Source organism: Homo sapiens, chromosome 12 (genome assembly GCF_000001405.40).
Source record: "Homo sapiens chromosome 12, GRCh38.p14 Primary Assembly".
NCBI classification, from domain to species: Eukaryota; Metazoa; Chordata; class Mammalia; order Primates; family Hominidae; genus Homo; species Homo sapiens.
In genome coordinates this window covers 58,830,223-58,853,411 of record NC_000012.12, presented here as the reverse complement: position 1 = coordinate 58,853,411, position 23,189 = coordinate 58,830,223, and the positions used below count along the sequence as shown (strand labels likewise).

Below are 23,189 nucleotides of genomic sequence, written 5' to 3'. Positions count from 1 at the left end.
CCATTAGGAGATTATTATTGGTTGTACAGAAACCTGAAGAGGTGGCAGTCTTACACTGCTGGGGTCATCCGAAAGGAAAGGAAAGGGAAATAGAAGGGAACTGCCAAGCGGATATTGAAGCCAAAAGAGCCTCAAGGCAGGACCCTCCATTAGAAATGCTTATAGAAAGACACCTAGTATGGGGTAATCCCCTCTGGGAAACCAACCCCCAGTACTCAGCAGAAGAAATAGAATGGGGAACCTCATGAGAACATAGTTTCCTCCCCTCAAGATGGCTAGCCACTGAAGAAGAAAAAATACTTCTGCCTGCAGCTAACCAATGGAAATTACTTAAAACCCTTCACCAAACCTTTCACTTAGGCATTGATAGCACCCATCAGATGGCCAAATCATTATTTACTGGACCAGGCCTTTTTGAAACTATCAAGCAGATAGTCAGGGCCTGTGAAGTGTGCCAAAGAAATAATCCCGTGCACTGCAGGCCATACATTTCAATCCCTGTATCTTTACCCTCCTTGTTAAGTTTGTCTCTTCCAGAATCAAAGCTGTAAAACTACAAATAGTTCTTCAAATGGAGCCGCAGATGCAGTCCATGACTAAAATCTACTGTGGACCCCTGGACTGGCCTGCTAGCCCATGCTCCAATGTTAATGACATTGAAGGCACCCCTCCCAAGGAAATCTCAACTGCACAACCCCTACTATGCCCCGATTCAGCAGGAGGCAGTTAAAGTGGTCGTTGGCCAAACTCCCCAACAGCCGTTGGTTTTTCCTGTTGAGAGGGGATACTGAGAGACAGGACTAGCTGGATTTCCTAGGCTGACTAAGAATCCCTAAGACTAGCTGGGAAGGTGACCACATCCACCTTGAAACACGGGGCTTGCAACTTAGCTCACATCCAACCAATCAGGTAATAAGAAAAGCTCACTAAAATGCTAATTAGGCAAAAACAGGAGGTAAAGAAATAGCCAATCATCTATCACCTGAGAGCACAGCGGGAGGGACAATGATCGGGATATAAACCCAGGCATTCGAGCCAGCAACAGCTACCCTCTTTGGTCCCCTCCCTTTGTATGGGAGCTCTGTTTTCACTCTATTAAATCTTGCAACTGCACTCTCTTTTGGTCCATGTTTATTATGGCTCGAGCTCATCTTTCGCTCGCCGCCCACCACTGCTGTTTGCTGCCATTGCAGACCCGCCATTGACTTCCATCCCTCCAGATCCAGCAGGGTGTCCGCTGTGCTCCTGATCCAGTGAGGCACCCATTGCTGCTCCGGATTGGGCTAAAGGCTTGCCATTGTTCCTGCACAGCTATGTGCCCGGGTTCATCCTAATCGAGCTGAACACTAGTCACTGGGTTCCATGGTTCTCTTCCGTGACCCACAGCTTCTAATAGAGCTATAACACTCACTGCATGGCCCAAGATTCCATTCCTTGGAATCCGTGAGGCCAATAACCCCAGGTCAGAGAACACAAGGCTTGCCACCATCTTGGATGCAGCCTGCCACCTTCTTGGTAGCTCTGGGAGCAAGGAACCCCTGGTAACACTTATAGCAGCATGAAAACAGACTAATATACTGACCATATCAAGTCGGCTAACAAGATGAGGACTGACAATTTATCAGTAAACTTAATAATGTGGAGATCATTTGTGACCATGATAGTCACTGTTTCGATGGATTCATGGGTGCAAGGCTTGATTACAATGGGTTCAAGAGAGAGTGGGAGGGGAAAAAAATAGATAAAAAAATAAACAATCCTTTCAATTCTACTATCAGAGGAACAAGAAATAGAACAGTCACTGCAAAAGAAAAACTAGGTAAAAAGAGGTTTGTTTGGTTTTGTTTTATAAGATGATAAGTAAAAGCCCAGCATATTTATATGCCAGTTAGAGAGATCTGGTAGACAATTAAAAATTACTGATGAAACAGAGAGAAGGAGACAGAGAAACAGAGAATTTCAGGGCCTGAACCTAGGAATGTACCTACATGTTCTTTCTATGTCAATTCTGTGGAAAACTCCAATAGAAGGCATGCCAAGAATGGTCTTTAGTTTTGAGCATTCTTATGACTCTGTCAAATCAATATCAGAAGAGCAGTGGTGGTAGAACCTAGGTGAGTTGAATAGTGGTTTTGAGGTGAAGACAAGTGTAAACTGTTACCAAGGAGTGTGTCAATGAAGGGAGGTTGAAAGATGAGTTTGTACCTTGAAGGAGGGCAGGATTAAATAAAGTTACACTTAGGGTGGGGAAAAACATGACTCAGTTTATAGACTTGGAAGATGGAGTCAATGAAAATCATTCTTAAAATATGTGGTCATCTTGGCTAATTGAGAACCAACCACAGCATCTCGGATGTTTTACAAGTAAGTGAAACTAAAGCCTATTTAAGAGGTTAGGTCATGATAGATATTTTGTGTGGAACTGGAAGCTGTAGTTCCTAATCCTCAATTATGTAATTGTGTTTGAGCTTGTGAACTGTAATATCATTTTCTTTAGACATTAGGTCTTCGCTCTGTAGCCAGATGTAACTAATCATGCCTGCCCACCAATGCAATGCTTTCTAAGAATACAACGAGATGGCTCATAAACTCTGGACTCCTCTTGACCATATTGTAAAGATTAATGACAAGCTAAGTCTAATGATGTGTTGTATGATTAAGTTACTACTTTGTGACCAGTTAGATACCTATTGGTAAAAGCAGTCAAATTATGTATCTACCTTTTCACAATCAAGAAGGCTCAATGACTTTCTGAGGGGATAGTTGGAAAGAAATATATGAACTAAATCTATTTTATGTTTTAATATTTACAATTGAGTTTATTTTCAGGGAGGCCATATTTTTAGAAATGTCTGGGTATTTACTATTGAATGAAGAGAAAATATGTCAAGAGGATGAGAATAAGGGAGAAACTTTCTGATATAAAAAATGATTATATCAGACCTCATCAATGCTTTTTAATTACTGTGAAACAAGCACTGAGAATGTTACACAAACAAAACAAATGTTTATAACTTAATGTGGCACAGTAGTTTAATAACGAGATCCCAGATTTAGGAGTCAGACATATCTAGACTCCAATCTCTACTCTAACTCCATACTTAATATATGAATTATTAATATTTCTAAGCCTCTATTTTATGTGTAAATTGGAAATAACACCTACTTTTCAGGGTTACTATGACTGTTATATGTAATGCAAGAGTGCATGATTCCCAGCACCCAGATTAAATAAAGATAGCTACTAACATTCTTTTTTTTTTACTCTTATTATTGAGTAACATGGGGCAAATAGGAAACATGGTTTTATTTTTGCCCGTGAAAATCTAGAGCAAATACTATATTTGTTCTGGAACAATGAGACCTACTCCTACACTTACCTCACTTATCTCACTCTGATATTATAGATTTAAAGGAAAAGCTATACTTATGATCATACATTAGAGATCAAAGAGTTGGGTCTAACTTGAAACTATACTTTGAGTGCTTCTGGAAATTATTTTTTATTTCCTCACTTACGAAATGTGGTTATTGAAAAAAGTATAGTCTTTGTCATGGGAAAGTTGTGGAGATCAAGGGAAATGACATACCAAAGCACTCAGAAAACTGTACAGTGCTCTGTAAAGAATGGGTGTAAGCACCCAGGATCCCACAGGGGAAGCTGGATTCCCATGTTCTTATTGTGGTTGAGCTGGTATTTTTTGAATGATCCTAGGGCAAGTCCCTTAACTGTTCTTGGGGTCAGCAATGAGCCTCTACTGAAGAAAGAGCACCGAAAGTTGGTTACAAAGAGAAGCTTTATTCGAATAAAGCTTCGCTTTGTAGCTTCCAGAGGCTCTTCAGAATAGGTAACGTAACCTGCTCTCTAGAACACTGTCGCTGCATTTCAACATAGAGACCAAGAAAAATGAGAAAATGATCTCTAAAGACTTCATTTTCTAGGAGTTTTTATGGAATTGCTACAGAGTGGAGTTGGCTATAGATAATTTAACAAAGGTTCATTGAGTATTTATGCATAGAAATGTACTGTCATATTCTGTAGGGGAAGGAAAGGCAGGCTTTTAAGGAGGCAAAGATTAATAAGATGAAGGGATAGATTCCTGCTCATCTCTACCACTATCTCAATGTGGTCCCAAAGAGTAGCAGAGACAGTGTCCAGAAGCCAGAAGAAGTGAGTGGTTCTGACTGGCAGCCATCTGGCAAGGCCAGATATAATACATTAGGAAGTGGCAGGGATCACGGTGTTCACCAAAGATGCCAACAGGTAAAATCATGTTTGCCAAGACATTCTAGGAGTTTCACTACTATTTGGGAACTCTTGCATATAACCATTTGTACCAAGAACCAAAATTATAGTGAATGCGTCTCTTGTGCATTCTCACCATGACCTCCCTTTTGCCGATTTCTTCAGGCTCCTTCCACTTGGACTCAACCTCAGACCAGGTGTTTCTAAATGAGTAATGTATATTTCTAATGCAGGAGGAGTGAGGCCTAAATGTAAAAAAGAACTATTAAAGCTAACTACTTTTTTTGTGTAAATAAGGTTGTGAGAAGAAAAAATTGTGAAGTTTTTTTTTTATGCCCCCTCAAGGGAAAAATGAAGCCCACCTTTTAGAGCCAGGTGTTTTTTATAGTTAAGTGATAATGGCAAGGAGAAGCTAAGCTCACTGGACTTTTCACAGAGTAATAAAAGTTTATACTGGCTTTATTAACATGTATAATGTTAAACACATTGCATAAAAATAAAAAGAAAAATATGGTCTATATGTTCAATTCTTTTGCAAATCTCTCATGTCCACAGGTAACTGGGCAATTAGGTAGTCTAAAGTGGGCCCAGGTTCACCCCCTCCCTCACCCCACTTCATTGCTACAGATGCTAATATAAATCAATTAGGGGCTGACACAGCAATTGGCTGCCTGACAAATGTTCCATAATAATGCAGCTCAAGAGAATGTGGAATTTCTGAGGTGCTGGTTATAACGCTTTCAATAATAGCTGTAAATTCCATGCCATGTCAGCACAGGTGGAAAGCTGAGTCATAAATAAAATGTTTCCCCAATTCCTAAAGAGCTCCCTAGATGATTGACCAAAGTAAGTTGGGATTTAATTCAACCACTTAAGCTTTCAGGAAGTAAAAACCAGACCTTCATCAAATTTAGACCAAAAAAAAGGGAGGGAGGAAGGGGGGAGAATGTGTGTGTGGAGAATAGAGGGAAGGAAGAAAGGAAAGAACACTGGCTGCCAAGTATGGGAATGAGCACGGGCTGCTCCAGCTGAAGCCATTAGAGTACTCATTATTTGGAAAATAGTAAAAGACCCTGGCTAGACATGTGCTCAGTTCCATGGGAGTAATTAATGGAGGCACGCCACAGCCACTTCAGCCCCCTTCCTGTTTCACAGCATGTCATGCATGTGGTGACTTAAATTTTCCGTTGTATTTTAATGGCTAATGATGGAAGCACTCTAGCAGACTCCCCTTCCAGTTAGAGAAGCCTAGCCGATTACCTTATTTGAATGGGGGATAAAGGGAAAGCTGAAGTTCTCACAAGCATTTTCTGGGCATCTCCCCAAGGAGATGTATTTTGTATTCTCTACAACTTTTAACATAACTCTAAAAACATAGTAGACACACTGATACTACATTGAAGAATGAATAAAATCAAAGGGTTGTCCTCAGAGATATATTTTAGGACATGTGAGATAAATACAGAAATATTAGCAAGTTTATATGAAGTCCTAAAATTTGAATATACCCCATGTTACCTTTTTAAATAGAGAATTATTACTCCGTCAAATTTGCCCTTAATTCTCTATAGTTTTAGATGCCATTATGTCCAAGTATATTTTGAGTATTTATGAGAAGAATAAAAACCTCCTAGAGATGTAAGTATTGAAACATATTACTATCCAAATTGATGCTAATGCATACTCTTATTTTCAGAGAGATGCCTAAGTAGAGAGAAAGAACTCTTATTGCCAAGATAGTCATTGGTTTTATTTTTATGTTCTTGCATTTCACATTTTATCTAGCTTCTTTGCAAAATTATGAATGTATATGTTTGTGCATAGGTGTGTGTTTGTGCAATTCTGAGTACGTTCTTAGTATGCTTCTACTAAAGATACTAAATATCATAAGTACATCATTAAATTCCTCTCCAATGTAATAGCTATAAAGCTATATTACCGAGAAGCTGAGGATAATATAGTCTGTTATGTGTGAAATGATGAATACTTTTCATATTTGTGAATTGCACTTATGCTTACTGTTCATGAAGCTAATTGTGACTTTCATTAGGGAAATCAGTAATTTCCAGTGTATCTGAAATTTCCAAGTAGACATGCATTTCTTCTCTTGACTTGTGCTTCAATAACTAATTCACCAGATATTTTTATTATCCATGTCATCAGAAAAGACCAAACTCCTGCTTAATCAAAAGTAATTAAGAATAATAAGCTATTTTAAAATTGAATGTATTTTGGTTGATTTAGTATATTTTTAATTTTTATTTCCTGGCATAGATATTATCTATACAATTCCTGGAAATATAAGACCTGAAAAACAAATCTTCTACCCATCTATTTCTATAATCCCAACCTACTCTTCTCATCATGCACTGGACTCAACAATATTCAGATTCAAATGTGCTATGCTTTTCCCAGTCTTCAGGTCTTATAGCACATACTATATTCCCTTTTCCAGAAGATAAATCCTCTATTCTTTAGAATAACTACAGCTTATTCTTAAGGTCTCAGTTTCAAGATTCCCTTCCCCAGGAAGCAGTGGCAGACTCTCTAAACAAGTACCCCAATACTCCTACATTACTATTTTAATCTCCCCTCTTCACAAGCCTCTAAAACCTCCTCATCCCCTCTTCTCATTCTCAGATAATTTTATTGATAAATAGAGGCAAACAGAAGTGCATTTTTACAAGTCCCACTATTACCCACCTACCTCCATCTATGCCCAAATAACTTGGCATCTCTCTTAGTTCATCTCTTGGATGAACTATCAATTCTCCAACCAAAGGTTTGAACCTATTGTACTGTTTACGGTTTATGTATCACCACAGATCAGTGTACTTTCCTTTTTCTCTGCCTGGAGCAGCAATGACAGTTTACACCATTAAAAAGCTAGGTTCATACTGCTGCTGCCACCAGACAAGGCGCGTACTCTGGGAGCTGCTTCAAGTCTTCAGTCATTCATAAGCATAACTCAATGGCAGCTTCCTTACTCCTTGCTAGGGACGCACACCTCTTGCCTCCCACCCCTCATCTTCCCTCGTTGAGGCAACTTTGACATATGGGAGGCATGAACAATTGAACGAATTCTTCTCCCTGTCTCCCCCTTAGATGGATTCTTTGGGAATTCACTAACTTCTCCGATATAGTATCTCTGAAGATGTCTTGCAAGATTAAGCAATTCGTTTGTCATAAAGCTATTGTCAGATCCTACATATTCTCTTATATTTGATTTTTTTTTCTTTCAGACAACACTCCTTTTATGCTCACTTCTGCTTCCTTGGGTGGGATTTCACCCTCATGATAAAATGTTAACACATAAGCCTTTGTTTTAGTAAGAACACACGCTAAGACACCCTCTACCTGTGCACTGGGTCCTCCATTGCTTACTCAAGCACACTGCTCCAATAATCTCCCCTCTCGCATCATCTATCTTTTTCTGTGTTCTGAATTTTTCCTATAAAGATACAGACCATTGTTATTTATTTCACATTAAAAATAAAAATCTGGACACCACCTGGATTTTACTTCTTTCTTCATCTGCTCCATTTTTTTCCTTTTTCTATTTTTCAAACTGCAAGACTGTTGGAAGAGTTGTATCTAACTCTTGGCTTCCTTTCCTTTCATGAGTGTACCCCCACCTCTTCTCTAAAATTGCTTCTGTCCTCGTCACTTATAACTTCCATGTTTCTGAATCTAATGGTCATTTCTCAATCTTCCCTCTACTTGACCTACCAACAGCATTTTACACTTGATCCATTGTGCTTCTTTAGAACAGTTTATTCTTGTGGCTTCCAGGATATTTTACTGGTTTTCTTTCTATTGTAAGAAATTCTCCTTCTCACTCTCCTTTAGTGATTCCTTCTTATATTCCCAGTCTCTTAACATTGGAGTCCTGGGGCTTAGTCTTGAACCTCTTCTTATCTCTATTGATAGCCCCTCTTTAAGATAGTCGTTGTCTTGTCCAATGACTTTAAATAACTTCTAAATGCTGATGACGCTCATGTCTATATCCCAGCCCTAATTCCTTCCCCAGATTCCTTCTATACCTCTGCCTCTGTGACGTCTCCCATTAGATGTCTATTTGGAGTCTTGAACTTCACATTCTGAACTTATTATCTTTCTTTCTCGAAAGCTGCTTCTCTTGTAGCTTTTTCTTATTTTTTAATGGTTATTTCATTCTTCCCTTGCTCATATATATTTTTAAAAGTCACTTTTAACTTCTCTCTTCCTGTAATACCCTATTTTCAATGCATCAGCAAATTATGTTGACTCTGCTTTCAAATTATATCCAGAATCCAGCAACCTCTCACCTCATACCTTGCCACTGACCCATTCCAAGCTACCTGCATCATCACCTGCACAAGTACAATATACTTATAGTTGGTATCCCTAATTCTATATTTGCATTCCTTCAATCTATTCTCAATAAAACTACCAGAGTGATCCTATTATAACATAGAGATCATGTGATTCCTATCCTTGGAACACTGCCATGAATTCAGAGTAAAACACAAAGACCATTACATTGGTCTGCCAGATTGCATAGGATCTGAATTACTGTTCATCTCTTTGACAGCATCACCTGCTGTATTGTCTCCTTCCTCACTGCCTCCAACCATGTGGACTACTTACTGTTCAAGGAAAGTGTTAGACTTGCCATGCTGGGCCCTCTCTTCTGCTTATCTCTCCTTCTTCCCCTTCCTTTCCCTCTTCCAGAATAATCCTCCTCTAAATACCATATGGCTCACCCTCTTCACTCCAGTAGGTCTTCATCAAATGTTACCTTTTCTGGCAGGCTTCCATGATTCTTTACCTAATTCCGGTTGCTCATGATTCACCACCCACCTTCCAGTTGTTTTTTTTTTCTTAGAATTTACCACCATTTCACCTACCTTGTATTTTATTTGTTTGATTTTCTCTCTTCCTTCACTAGCATGTAAGCTCTGTAAGGGAAGGGATATTCAATAGCGGCGTTCATGGCAGTATCCTCAGCGTGTGCAGCAGCACCTCACACATAGTAGGCAGTTAGTAAATATCTGTTGAGTAGCAGCATGCCACACTTCCCCTCCCATCTGACAGTGAGTGTTTGTTAAATGTCTCTCTCCCCAACCTGAGTGAGCAGTTTGCTACAGCAGGGTCAGTTTCCCCAGGGTATAGTATAGGACTGGTGTGAAATTAGATGCCCAATAAATATATTTTAGAAAACCAAATGCAATGTTCCTATTATCCATGTGAATTGCTTATTTATATGCATTTAGATGATTGATTTGCTAAGGTTTATATGATGTCGATGGGAAAGTCAACAAGTTAGCTTTTGACTTAGCCTAGTATATTAACAGCCTTTGCCATGGTTTTAAGAAACACTCAATCTATTTTGTTATAAATACATTAGCAAGATTTGGGTTGGCACTCATTACTTAAATGAGTTGCATATCCTAGAGATAATGTCCCCATTTACCGTGTTAGAATCTGAACCATATGGATATCTAAAACCAACTTCTCCTAAATGCTTATTGCAATATTTTTCTATTTCCCACTCCCTCTTTGTCCTTTTAAGGAAAGCAACAATAACAACAATGCCACACTTTTCTTATTGTTGTTCTTATTATGAAACTAATCACTATAAAACTTTGGAGACTATAGTTAAGAAAGAAATTTCAAATCATCTGCCATGGCTGTGTTCAGTAATAACCTGTGTATACATGTTATATATATTACCTGCTTGAAATCTGATCATACTTTTATACCTTATTTTCACATAAAACATTATATGTACAAATATGTAGATAGTGCTAAATATACTATATATACATATATATCACACACATATATGTAATACACATATTTTTAAAGATATATCATAATTTATTTAACCATCTTCAGATTGTTGATTATTTAACTTTTCTCTAATGAAAATAACACATTTGATAAATGTTAGTTATTTGCTCAGAACTTAATATATTTTGAGAAAGATATATATATATCTTAATATATATATGTCTTGATATATATTATCTTAAATATATATATATTTAAGGCTTGATATATTTTGTCCTTTTGAAAGACTCCATCAATTTGCACTCACTTAGCTGTGTATATCAGGGTCTAATTCTTCATGGCTTATTAGAAGTATTATGATGTGTACAAGTTTTTTACAATATGAGAAGTGAAAGATGAATTCTCATTGTTTACCTAAAAATTCTTCAGCACTTACTATATGCGAGAAAAACACATTTTAGGGCATTTAAAATGAATTACAGAATTTAATCCTCACAATAACAGTATGAAATATTCTGACATAATTCCTCTTAATACCATTATATCAAAGGCAAGGAAAATGAGGAACAGAGACTTTTTCATAGTTTGAAATGTTAAACTAAGTAATTTACCCTTGTTTAAATCTTTTAACTTGTAGTTAATCCTGGATTTGGACATATACTAACTTGTAGCTTAGTTAATCCCTGTGATAGTAAGATTGCATTTCTTCTTATGTTTATTGGTTATTTCTTTTTCTTATTTTTGTGAATTTTCTATTTAAGACATTTTCATTATTCTTTTAGAGTGTTCACCTCTTATTGATATGTAAGAAATATTTATATATTAATAATAATGCTTTGTGGCATAGCATGCATATGTTTCTCATGTGTGTTGTTTGTATTAATTTCGTATATAATAATTTGTCTTAAAGAAATTTTTGTATTTCATGTAATCACATGTATCACTTGCTGCTCTTATGATTTCTATTTTGTTGTAATATTTAGTAAATCATTTTCATATCAGAGGTATAGAAATAACTACCTATATTTTGCTGTAGTTCTTTCAGGATTTCTCCTTTTACATTTAAATTATTGGTCTATCTAGAATTTATTTTGATGTGAGAAAGAAACTTGTTTTTTCAGATGATTTAACAGTGTTCAAGATCACTTATGAAATCATCCATCCCCTTTCCACTGGTATGAAATGCCTCTTTTATCATATACTAAATTTTTATGTCTACTCGGATTCATTTCTAGATTTTTAACCTTCCATAATTGTGACAATGCAAATTTTGAAGTGCCATTTTATGAGGTTTTTAGTGTTGTATTTTGGAAAGAACATGGGTTTTGGACTTACTAGATATGTCATTCTCGCCAAGCAATTTCTTTGATCCTCTTTCCTTTGTAAAAAAAGGAGAGAGCATAATATTTGTCCAAACAATAGCTAAGCTTATGTGCAGCAAAATTTTGACTTTTTATGAAAAAGTGTTTAACCAAAGAGCACTATACATTTTCATATTTTAGATATTCTCAGCTGCTATTGTATGTGACAGGTATTTAACCATCATTTTTAAAAACATTAATGGGGATTGCTGGCAAGATGGCCGAATAGGAACAGCTTGCGTCTGCAGCTCCCAGTGAGATTGACACAGAAGGCGGGTGATTTCTGCATTTCCAATTGAGGTACCTGGTTCATCTCACTGGGACGGGTTGGACAGCGGGTGCAGCCCAAGGAAGGCAAGCTGAAGCAGGCTGGGGTGTTGCCTCACCTGAGAAGTGCAAGCGGTTGGGGAGCTCAGTCTCCCAGCCAGGGAAAGCCATTAGGGACTGTACCGTGCACTCCAGCCCAGATACTGCACTTTCCCCACGGTCCTTGCAACTTGCAGAACAGGATATTCCTTCTTGTGCCTACACCACCAAGGCCCTGGGTTCCCAGCACAAAACTAGGCGGCCCTTTGGGCAGAGACCAAGCTAGCCACAGGAGTTTTTTTTTTTATACCCCCATGGCGCCTGGAACGCCAGTGAGACAGACTGTTCACTGCCCTGCAAAGGAGGCTGAAGCCAGGGAGTCAAGTAGTCTGGCTCAGTGCCCCACAGAACCCAGCAACCTAAGATCCACTGGCTTGAAATTCTCACTGCCAGCACAGGAGCAGTCTAAACTCAACCTGGGATGCTCGAGCATGGTGGGGGGAGGGGCGTCCACCATTGCTGAGGCTTAAGTAGGCAGTTTCACCCTCACAGTGTAAACAAAGCTGCAGGGAAGTTCGATCTGGCCGGAGCCAACCCCAGCTCAGCAAGGCCGCTGTGGCCAGACTGTCCCCTCTCTGGGCAGGACATCTCTGAAAAAAAGGCAGCAGCCCCAGTCAGGGACTTACAGATATAACCCCCACCTCCCTGGGACAGAACACCTGGGGGAAGGGGCAGTTGTGTGTGTTTAGCTTCAGCAGACTTAAACGTCCCTACCTGGCAGCTCTGAAGAGAGCAGCAGATCTACCAACAGTGTTCAAGCTCTGATAAGGGACAGACTGCCTCCTCAAGTGTGTCCCTGACCCCCAGGTATCCTGATTAGGAGACACCTCCAAGTAGGGGCCAACAGACACCTCATACAGGGGAGCTCTAACTGGCATCTGGTGGGTGCCACTCTTGGATGAAGCTTCCAGAGGAAGGAACAGGCAGCACTCTTTGCTGGTCTGCAGCCTTCACCGGTAATACCCAGGCAAATAGGGTCAGAAGTGGACCTCCAGCAAAATCCAGCAGACCTGCAGCAGAGGGGCCTGACTGTTAGAAGGAAAACTAACAAACAGAAAGAAATAGTATCAACATCAACAAAAAGGATGTCTACTCAGAGACCCCATGTGAAGGTCACCAACTTCAAAGACCAAAGGTAGATAAATCCATGAAAATGGGGAGAAACCAGTGCAAAAAGTCTGAAAATCCCAAAAACCAGAACCCTTCTTCTCCTCCAAAGGATCACAACTCCTCCCCAGCAAGGGAACAAAACTGGACAGAGAATGAGTTTGATGACTTGACAGAAGTAGGCTTCAGAAGGTGGGTTATAACAAACTCCTCTGAACTAAAGGAGCATGTCCTAATCCAATGCAAGGAAGCTACCTTGAAAACAGGTAGACGAATTGCTAACTAGAATAACCAATTTAGAGAAGAACATAAATGACCTGATGCAGCTGAAAAACACAGCACGAGAACTTTGTGAAGCATACACAAGTATCAATAGCCAAATTGATCAAGCAGAAAAAAGGATATCAGAGATTGAAGATCAACTCAATGAAATAAAGTGAGAAAACAAGATCAGAGAAAAAAGAGTGAAAAGAAATGAACAAAGCCTCCAAGAAGTATGGGACTATGTGAAAAGACCAAATCTACATTTGATTGGTGTACCTGAAGGTGATGAAGAGAATGGAACCAAGTTGGAAAACACTCTTCAGGATATTATCCAGGAAAACTTCCCTAACCTAGCAAGGCAGGCCAACATTCAAATTCAGGAAATACAGAGATCACCACAAAGATACTCCTCAAGAAGAGCAACTCCAAGACACATAATCTTCAGATTCACCAAGGTTGAAATGAAGGAAAAAATGTTAGGGGCAGCCAGAGAGAAAGGTTGGGTTACCAACAAATGGAAGCCCATCAGACTAACAGTGGATCTCTCAGCAGAAACCCTACAAGCCAGAAGAGACTGGGGGCCAATATTCAACATTCTTAGAGAAAAGAATTTTCAACTCAGAATTTTATATCCAGCCAAACTAAGCTTCATAAGCAAAGGAGAAATAAAATCCTTTACAGACAAGGAAATGCTGAGAGATTTTGTCACCACCAGGCCTGCCCTACAAGAGCTCCTGAAGGAAGCACTAAACATGGAAAGGAATACCCGGTACCAGGCACTGCAAAAACATACCAAATTGTAAAGACCATTCACGCTATGAAGAAACTACATAAACTAACTGGCAAAATAACCAGCTAGCGTCATAATGGGAGGATCAAATTCACACACAACAACATTAACCTTAAATGTAAACAGGCTAAATGCTCCAATTAAAAGACACAGACATGCAAATTGGATAAAGAGTCAAGACCCACTGGCGTGCTGTATTCAGGAGACCGATCTCAAGTGCAAAGACACACATAGGCTCAAAATAAAGGGATGGAGGAATATTTACCAAGCAAATGGAAAGCAAAAAAAGCAGGGGTTGCACTCCTAGTCTCTACTAAAACAGACTTTAAACCAATAAAGGTCAAAAGAGACAAAGAAGGGCATTACAAAATGGTAAAGGGATCAATGCAACAAGAAGAGCCAACTCTCCTAAATATATATGCACCCAATACAGGAGCACCCAGATTCATAAAGCAAGTTCTTAGAGACCTACAAAGAGACTTAGACTCCCACCCAATAATAGTGGAAGACTTTAACACTCCACTGTCTATACTAGACAGACCAACAAGACAGAAAATTAACAAGGATATCCAGGACTTGAACTCAGCTCTGGACCAAGTGGACCTAACAGACATCTACAGAATTCTCCACCCCAAATAAACAGAATATACATTCTTCTTAGTACCACATTGCACTTATTCTAAAATTGACCACATAATTGGAAATAAAAACTCCTTAGCAAATGCAAAAGAACAGAAATCATAACAAACGGTCTCTCAGACCACAGTGCAATCAAATTAGAACTCAGGATTAAGAAACTCACTCAAAACCACACAAATACATGGAAACTGAAACTGAACAACCTGCTCCTGAATGACTACTGAGTAAGTAATGAAATGAAGCAGAAATAAAGATGTTCCTTTAAACCAATGAGAACAAAGACACAACATGCCAGAATCTCTGGGACACATTTAAATCAGTGTGTAGAGGGAAATTTATAGCACTAAATGCCCACAAGAGATAGCAGGAAAGGTCTAAAATTGACACCCTAACATCACAATTAAAAGAACTAGAGAAGCAAGAGCAAATACATTCAAAAGCTAGCAGAAGACAAGCAGTAACTAAGATCAGAGCAGAACTGAAGGAGATAGTGACATGAAAAACCCTTCAAAAAATCAATGAATCCAGGAGCTGGTGTTTTGAAAAGTTCAACAAAATAAATAGACCACTAGTCAGACTAATAAAGAATAAATGACAGAAGAATCAAATAGATGCAATAAAAAATGATAAAAGGGAGATGACCACTGATCCCAATGAAATACAAACTACCACCAGAGAATACTATAAATACCTCTATGCAAATAAATGAGAAAATCTAGAAGAAATGAATAAATTCCTGGAGACATACACCCTCCCAAGACTAAACCAGGAAGAAGTTGAATCCCTGAATAGACCAATAACAAGTTCTGATATTGAGGCAGCAATTAATAGCCTACCAACCAGAAAAACTCCAGGACTAGATGAATTCATAGTCGAATTCTACCAGAGTTATAAGGAGGAGCTGGTACCATTCCTTCTGAAACTATTCCAAACAACAGAAAAAGAGGGAATCCTCCCTAACTCATTTTTTGAGGCCAGCATCATCCTGATACTAAAGCCTGGCAGAGACACAACAAAAAAAGAAAATTTCAGGCCAATATCCTGATGAACACTAAATGTGTAAATCCTGAATAAAATACTGGCAAACCGAATCCAGTAGCACATCAAAATGCTTATCTACCATGATCAAGTCAGCTTCATCCCTGGGATGCAAGGCTGGTTCAACATACTCAAATCAATAAACATATTCCATCACATAAACAGAGCCAATGACAATAACCACATGATTATCTCAATAAATGCAGAAAAGGCCTTAGACAAAATTCAACAGCACTTCATGCTAAAAACTCTCAGTAAACTAGGCATTGATGGAACATATCTCAAAATATTTATCAGAGCTATGTATGAAAATCCACAGCCAATATCATTCTGAATGGGCAAAAACTGGAAGCATTCCCTTTGAAAACTGGCACAAGACAAAGATGCCCTTTCTCACCACTCCTATTCAACATAGTGTTGGAAGTTCTGTCCAGGGCAGTCAGGCAAGAGAAAGAAATAAAGGGTATTCAATTAGGAAAAGAGGAACTAAAATAGTCCCTGTTTGCAGATGACATGATTGTATATTTAGAAAAACCCCATCGTCTCAGCCCAAATTCTCCTTAAGCTGATAAGCAACTTCAGCAGAGTCTCAGGATATAAAATCGATGTGCAAAAATCACAAGCATTCCTATACACAAATAACAGAGAGCCAAATCATGAGTGAACTGCCATTCACAATTGCTACAAAGAGAATAAAATACCTAGGAATACAACTTACAAGGGATGTGAAGGGCCTTTTCAAGGAGAACTACAAACCACTGCTCAAGGAAATAAGAGAGGACACAAACAAATGGAAAAGCATTCCATCTTCATGGATAGGAAGAATCAATATCGTCAAAATGGCCATACTGCCCAAAGTAATTTATAGATTTAATGTTATCCCAAGCAAGCTACCATTGACTTTCTTCACAGAATTGGAAAAATCTACATTAAATTTCATATGGACCAAAAAAGAGCCTGCATAGCCAAGACAATCCTAAGCAGAAAGAACAAAGTGGGAGGTATCATGCTATCTGACTTCAAACTATACTACAAGGCTACGGTAACCAAAACAGCATGGTACTAGTACCAAAACAGATATATAGACCAATGGAACAGAACAGAGGCCTCAGAAATAATGCCACACATCTACAACCATCTGATCTTTGACAAACCTGACAAAAGCAAGCAATGGGGAAAGGATTCCCTATTTAATAAATGGTGTTGGGAAAACTGGCTAGCCATATGCAGAAAGCTGAAACTGGATCCCTTCCTTACACCTTATACAAAAATTAACTCAAGTGGATTAAAGACTTAAATGTAAAGCCCGAAACCATAAAAACCCTAGAAGAAAACCTAGGCAACACAATTCAGGACATTGGCATTGGCAAAGACTTTATGAATAAAATCGGATAAAGAAAATGTACATATACACCATGGAATACTATGCAGCCATAAAAATGGATGAGTTCATGTCCTTTGCAGTGACATGGATGATGCTGGATACCATCATTCTCAGCAAACTAACACAAGAACAGAAAACTAAACACTGCATGTTCTCACTCATAAGTGGGAGTTGAACAATGAGAACACATGGACACAGGGATGGGAACATCACACACTGGGACCTGTCGGGGGTGGGGGGCTAGGGGAGGGATAGCATTAGGAGAAATACCTAATGTAGATGACAGGTTGATGGGTGCAACAAACCACCATGGCATGTGTATATCTGTGTATCAAACCTGCACATTCTGCACGTGTACCCCAGAACTTAAATTATAATATAAAAAAAAAACTAATGGTAGAAAACAAGTTGCTTATGCAAATTAACTAAAATAAAAGAGAAATTATTTTGCCAATTCTGATAGTTTTAAACCAGATTAGTATTTTTTAAGAGAAGGCAGACCCTTTTTGACACATCAGGGCAAGGCCCCATGGGTTTTCTCAAACAGCTGCAACCTTCTGTTTATATTGAGTAGACTTAAGGGTTTCTAGTGCTATAATACAATCAGTCTAGGCAGGCAGAATGGCAATCACATGAAGAGAAAAAGTTGAGATGTCCTGGAGATGGTCTTCACCTGAAACATTTCCTAAAGTTTGGTCATAGATCCTGAAATTGCACAACCTCTTGGGTTTCAACAGCTTTCTCTGATTGTGCAAAGGGGCCTCAAATCCAAGTGGTAGCACCACTATGGTGCATTTCAGGCACTATGACAAAAATCTTAGGGTATATGTGTGCTGATGTCTTCACTCAGCTGCAAATTGTTCCTTTACTGAACTCCATCTTACCTGAAACCTGTGTTACACAGATAAGTATATACAGCCCTAGATTAGAGTTATTTGTTCTCTAGGTGTCTATTTACTTAGAGTGAACTCTTGGATAAAGTTGTAGCCCAATGCCTTTTATAGAGTAGTAACCCAATGATGTGATTTGATCTGTTTTGATTTGTGTCCCCACCCAAATCTTGTGTTCAGTTGTAATTCCCAATGTTGGAGGTGGGGCCTAGTGGAAGGTGATTGGATTATGGGGGTGGATCCTGCATAAATGGTTTAGCACCATCCCTTTGGAGTTGTTCTCATGATGGAGTTCTTAGCAGATCTGGTTGGTTAAAAGTGTGTGGCATCTCCCTCCATTCTCTCTTCCTCCTGCTCTGGCCATGTAAAGGGCTGGCTCCTCCTTTGTCTTCTGCCATGATTGAAAGCTCCCTGAGGGCTCCCCAGAAGCAGAAGCTGCTATGACTCCTGTACAGCCTGCAGAACAATGAGCCAGTTAAGCCTCTTTTCTTTAAAAATTACCCAATCTCGTGTTTTTCTTTATAGCAGGGTGAGAAAGGACTGATGCACCCAATATATGTTGGTTTCTTGAAATAAGCCAGTGACTGGGGGAAGTTATTAAAAACCATAAGAAAACAAATTCTGCAATCACAGAAAGGAAAATTAAAAAACATTTTGTCAACCATGACAATTTTGTCTTAAACTATTAGAGAAATGTACTTATTATTTTTAAGGGTTTCTACATTCATACCCCAAACTATCTTCTAGTGGTTGCCTCTCATTATTCTGCAACAGCTTCTACATTCTCTTTGGCACAGACCTCATGAATGGAAGTTCTAGTCTCACAGACTCTGTACAGCCTCTCTCTCTCTCTATGCTTCAAATACCTCCCATTTTTAAAGAACCATTTAAAAATATATTTCTTCTGAGAAGTCACACATACTTCCTTATATAGCTGTCCATATTCATAGCTGTTACAGTTTTCATTACCCATTTGAACTTAATTTATTGAATGATATTGTTGGTTACTTTTTACATATTTATATTCCACTTGTATAGCTCAGAGCATTAATTCTTTGATGGGGTTACAAGTCTGTGCCTTTTTAAACCATCTTTGAAACTATGTCAGTGCCTCGGTTAATGCTAAATAAATAGTTGCTAAGTTAAATTGCCTTCCTAGCACACATAGTATGTCTAATATATTTGCTTGTCTCGATAGGCAGCTTAAAAACTCTCTGGAATCTGCCCTTCACTTTATCATTTATTTCTCCATTCTCTTCTTCTTGTAGCCCATTGTATTCAGGGGCTGTTCAACAAATGTTAATGGCCATGATCTTTTCAATCAGCAATTTGTAAAGTGGGTGATTATTATCTATAAGTGACAAGGGAGACACTATTTTCTATTTATGCTAATAAAAGACTTGACTTATGAAGACAATATCTACAAACAGTGAATGGTAAAACTAAACTCCTTAGTTCTTCCAAAGCAAATATGGTCCATTTTCAGGAGGAAGAGTGACATCTATTGTTCAGAAGATACTTGTTGGTGTTTTCTGTTTTTAATTTCTGCATCGATTCATGCCTGTGTCAACAATATAAGCTATAAATAATAGCATGTCTAACACAAAGTGGTACTTGTCGGCCCTTTGTCGCATTGGATATCTAATTTCAGCCCTGTTTGGTTGTAAAGCTTATTGGCAGTTCACACATTCAGCAGTAGCTGTATTTTAATCCATGCCTGTTTAAACAGCAAGTCACTGAAGATTGGAGAAGGGCTATGTGAAAACACAACTAAGCCACAACTTTTTAAATTCCTGAAGAAAACCATGACTTCTGAAGAAATAATTCCTTTAAGCATGCCTGGTGAAATTTGACTTCTTTGTATAAAATTATAGTTATCTAATTTTAAAGAAGAAAAAGAAAGCTTTAAGTTTTATGTTACATGTGACCTATGTAAAAATAACTTCTCCTAAAAGGTCATTGTCAACAGCCATGCTGACACTGACTTGTATGTAGTCAATTTGTATTAATATTTTCTTGAAGATGGAGAATGGCCCAGTGGGGATAATCTGTCATCCAGCCTCAACTTCAATACCTCCAATGACAGAAATTTCACTCTTTTTTGAGGCAGCTACAACATAACATGGTACAACCTGTCTTAGCTTTGTTATAGTGTTGTTGAACAGATCCATTGGTAACATGTGCATGAAAGCATTTTGAAATGTGTTGAGTACTACTACAAGATGTGATGAATACAGTGAAAGCCATGTCTATTCGGAATTCTAGAGGAAGCAGTTCATCTGTATGACATAACTTTTACAAGCTGATTATCCCTTTAAATACTACACAGTCTATATTGGAAACTGTGTTAGAGATTGGTATTTCTAAAGAATATAACCATCTTTGGAGTTTTTTAAAAAGTTTGTCCAAAGATAGTTTAAATTTCCATAAAGTGCTCACATCAGCATTTAAAATACTCTAATTTATATGTTTTATAAATTATAAAGTTATATTAGTCACACAACACAAAATACTTACTATGTCCTAGATGCACTATATGTTGTGGCATAAAGTCCATACCCTCAAGACAGTCTCAAAATGAGTTGATTTCAAAACAATGTGGGATGAGAAAACTGGAGAACATAAAAAGGAGGATTTAGGCCCAAAGTTATAAAAGATATAGTGGAATAATTGCCAGAGGAACTGATAACATAGAATGTTTATGTGTTAATCAGATGAAAATAGAGGAGGGGGCAAAGTGAAGGGACAAGAAAAGTAATTCTAGGCAAGAGAATAGCATGAGCCCAGGCACAGAGAATAATCTACTATATAAGGATTGGCTGAGAAGGGAAGGAGAGAAAGAGCTGAAACTATGGTCAATGGATGTTTCCTTTTCTCTCAAGGATGTTTAAAAACTGAAAAGGAGGAGCCAGTAAAGATCCAAGAGTGTAGTAAATGAAGAGAAACAGTATACTAGAGGGAGATGAAGAGAGACTTTATAGTGGAAAAAATAGAATCTAGTAACGATAGTTGGGTCTTTAAAATGAGAAGGACATCTTATCCTCTGAGCCTGAGAAAAGTAGGGAAAAAGGAAAACTAATGATGGTAAATTTGTGAGGAAAAATTCAAGGAAGCACGTATCTGGTCAACTCAAGATATTTGCCAATTTTGTTTCCTTTTGGTCAGCTTTGTTATATGCATCATTTACATATGATAAAATTCATCAACTCTATGTGTATAATTTGATGTTTTACAAATGTATACAGTAATGTAATCATCACCATAATCATGACATACATTTTTATCACCCCAAAAAGTTCTAACATGTGCTTTTGTAACCATTTTCTTTCCTATACCTCCTAGCCCCCCAAAACCATTGATCTTCTTTCTGTTGCTATAATTTTGTTTTGTTTCTAAAATTTCTTACCGATGAAATTAATACAGTATACTGTCTTTTGTATCTAGCTTCTTTCACTTGAGATTCAGCTGTGTTGCTTGCATGTTTTGATAGTTCATTCATTTTTATTGCTAAGTGGTATTCCTTATATGAATAAAACACCGTTTATCAATTGACCAGTTGATGGATTAGATTCTTCCAAGATTTTGGCTCTTATAAATAAGATTTCAGTAAACAATCAAATACAAGTATTTTTGTTAACATAGATTTTTATGTTTCTTTTGTAAATATCATGAAGTGGAATGGCTGGTAGGTGTTATGTCTAACATTTTTAAAAAAACTTTTAAACTATTTCCAAAGTGAGTGTACCATTTTACATTCCCAATAGTAGTAGTTGAAAGTTTCCATTGCTCTACTTCTTCATCATACTTGATATTATCAGTCATTATAATTTTAGAATTCTAATAGGTGTGTAGTAGTATCTCACTGAAGTTTTAATTTGCATTTCTCTAATGATGAATGATGTTGAGAAATTTTTCCACGTGAGTGTTTACCATCCATATATTTTCTTCGATGAAATGTCTGTTCATCTCTTGACTACTTTATATTGGAATATTTGCTTTTATATTATAGACTTTCAAAATTCTATATATATTCTGAATATAAGTTCTTTATCAGTGATTTGCAAATAATTTTTTGGAGTCTGTGGCTTAACTTTTTAATCTTTTAGTGGTGTGTTCATGAAAAAGCCAATGTTTTAAAATTTTGATGAAGTCTAATATCAGAATTTTTCTTGCATAATCATGCTTTTGGTGTTGTACCTAAGAAACATTTGCTTCACCCAGAGTTGCAAAGATATTCTCCTATATTTTTTTCTCTAAATTTTAAAGTTTAAATTTTACATTTAGCTCTATGATCCAGTTTTAGTTAATTTTTATATATGATATAAAAATACAAATAGACATGGTATACGAATTTTCTTATTTTTTTCAAATATGGCTGTCCAAAAGTTCAGCACCATTTGTTAAAGGGATTATCCTTTCTCCACTGAATGCTTTTGCAATTGAAAATCAATTGATCCTATATGTGTGGGCCTATTTCTGGACTCTATTTAGGTTCCACTGATCTCTCTGTTACTCTCCAATACCACATAGTCTTGACAGTAGTAGTTGTATAATAAACCTTGAAACCAGATAGCATAAATCCTCTGTAGTGGGCTGAATAGTGGTCCTCCACAAATGTCTATGTCCTAATCCCTGGAACCTGTGAATATTACCTTATTTGGGTATAGGGGTCTTTGTAGATGTAATTAAATGTAAGAGTTTCAGAGAATGAGATTATCTGAATGGACCCTAAATTCTTTTAAGTGTCCATAAAAGAGACACACAAAAAAACACAGACACAGAGGAGGTGGTGATGTAACCACAGAGGCAGAGACTGGAATGTTGTGGCCACAGGTCAAGGGATACTGACAACTTCCAGAAGATAAAATAGGCAAGAAATGGATTTTCTTTTATAGCCTACAAAAGAGCATGACCCTATTGACACATGATTTCAGAATTCTGGTCTCCAGAACTGTGAGAGAATAAATTTCTGTTGTTTTAAGCCACTCAGTTTGTTGTAACATCATGACAGCCACCCAAAACTAAGACATCCTCCAACTATGTTTTTCTCTCACCATTGTATGTATGCTACTTTATATTTCCTTATGAATTTTGGAAATACCATGCCAATATCTACAAAAATGGCAGGAACTTTGATTGAGATTGCTTTGAATGTACAGATCAATTTTAGAATAGTTAGCACCTTAACAATAGTGAGTCCTTCAGTCCACCTGTATGGTATCTCTGTCCATTTTTTAAGGTTTTTCAGAACTTAAGTTAGCAATGTTTTTGCGGTTTTCAGCATATAGTTCTTGTACATCTTTATCAGATGTATTCATAAGTATTTTAT

At 37.7% G+C, this 23,189-nt stretch overlaps 1 annotated feature.

Annotated features, from left to right (window-relative positions):
- Nucleotides 11,526–12,025: an enhancer, noted in NCBI's record as "H3K4me1 hESC enhancer chr12:59235169-59235668 (GRCh37/hg19 assembly coordinates)". NCBI's record gives its function as "activates a minimal SCP1, AML or CMV promoter by ChIP-STARR-seq in naive H9 embryonic stem cells {active_cell/tissue: H9 hESC(naive)}" and the evidence as "EXISTENCE:reporter gene assay evidence [ECO:0000049][PMID:30033119]".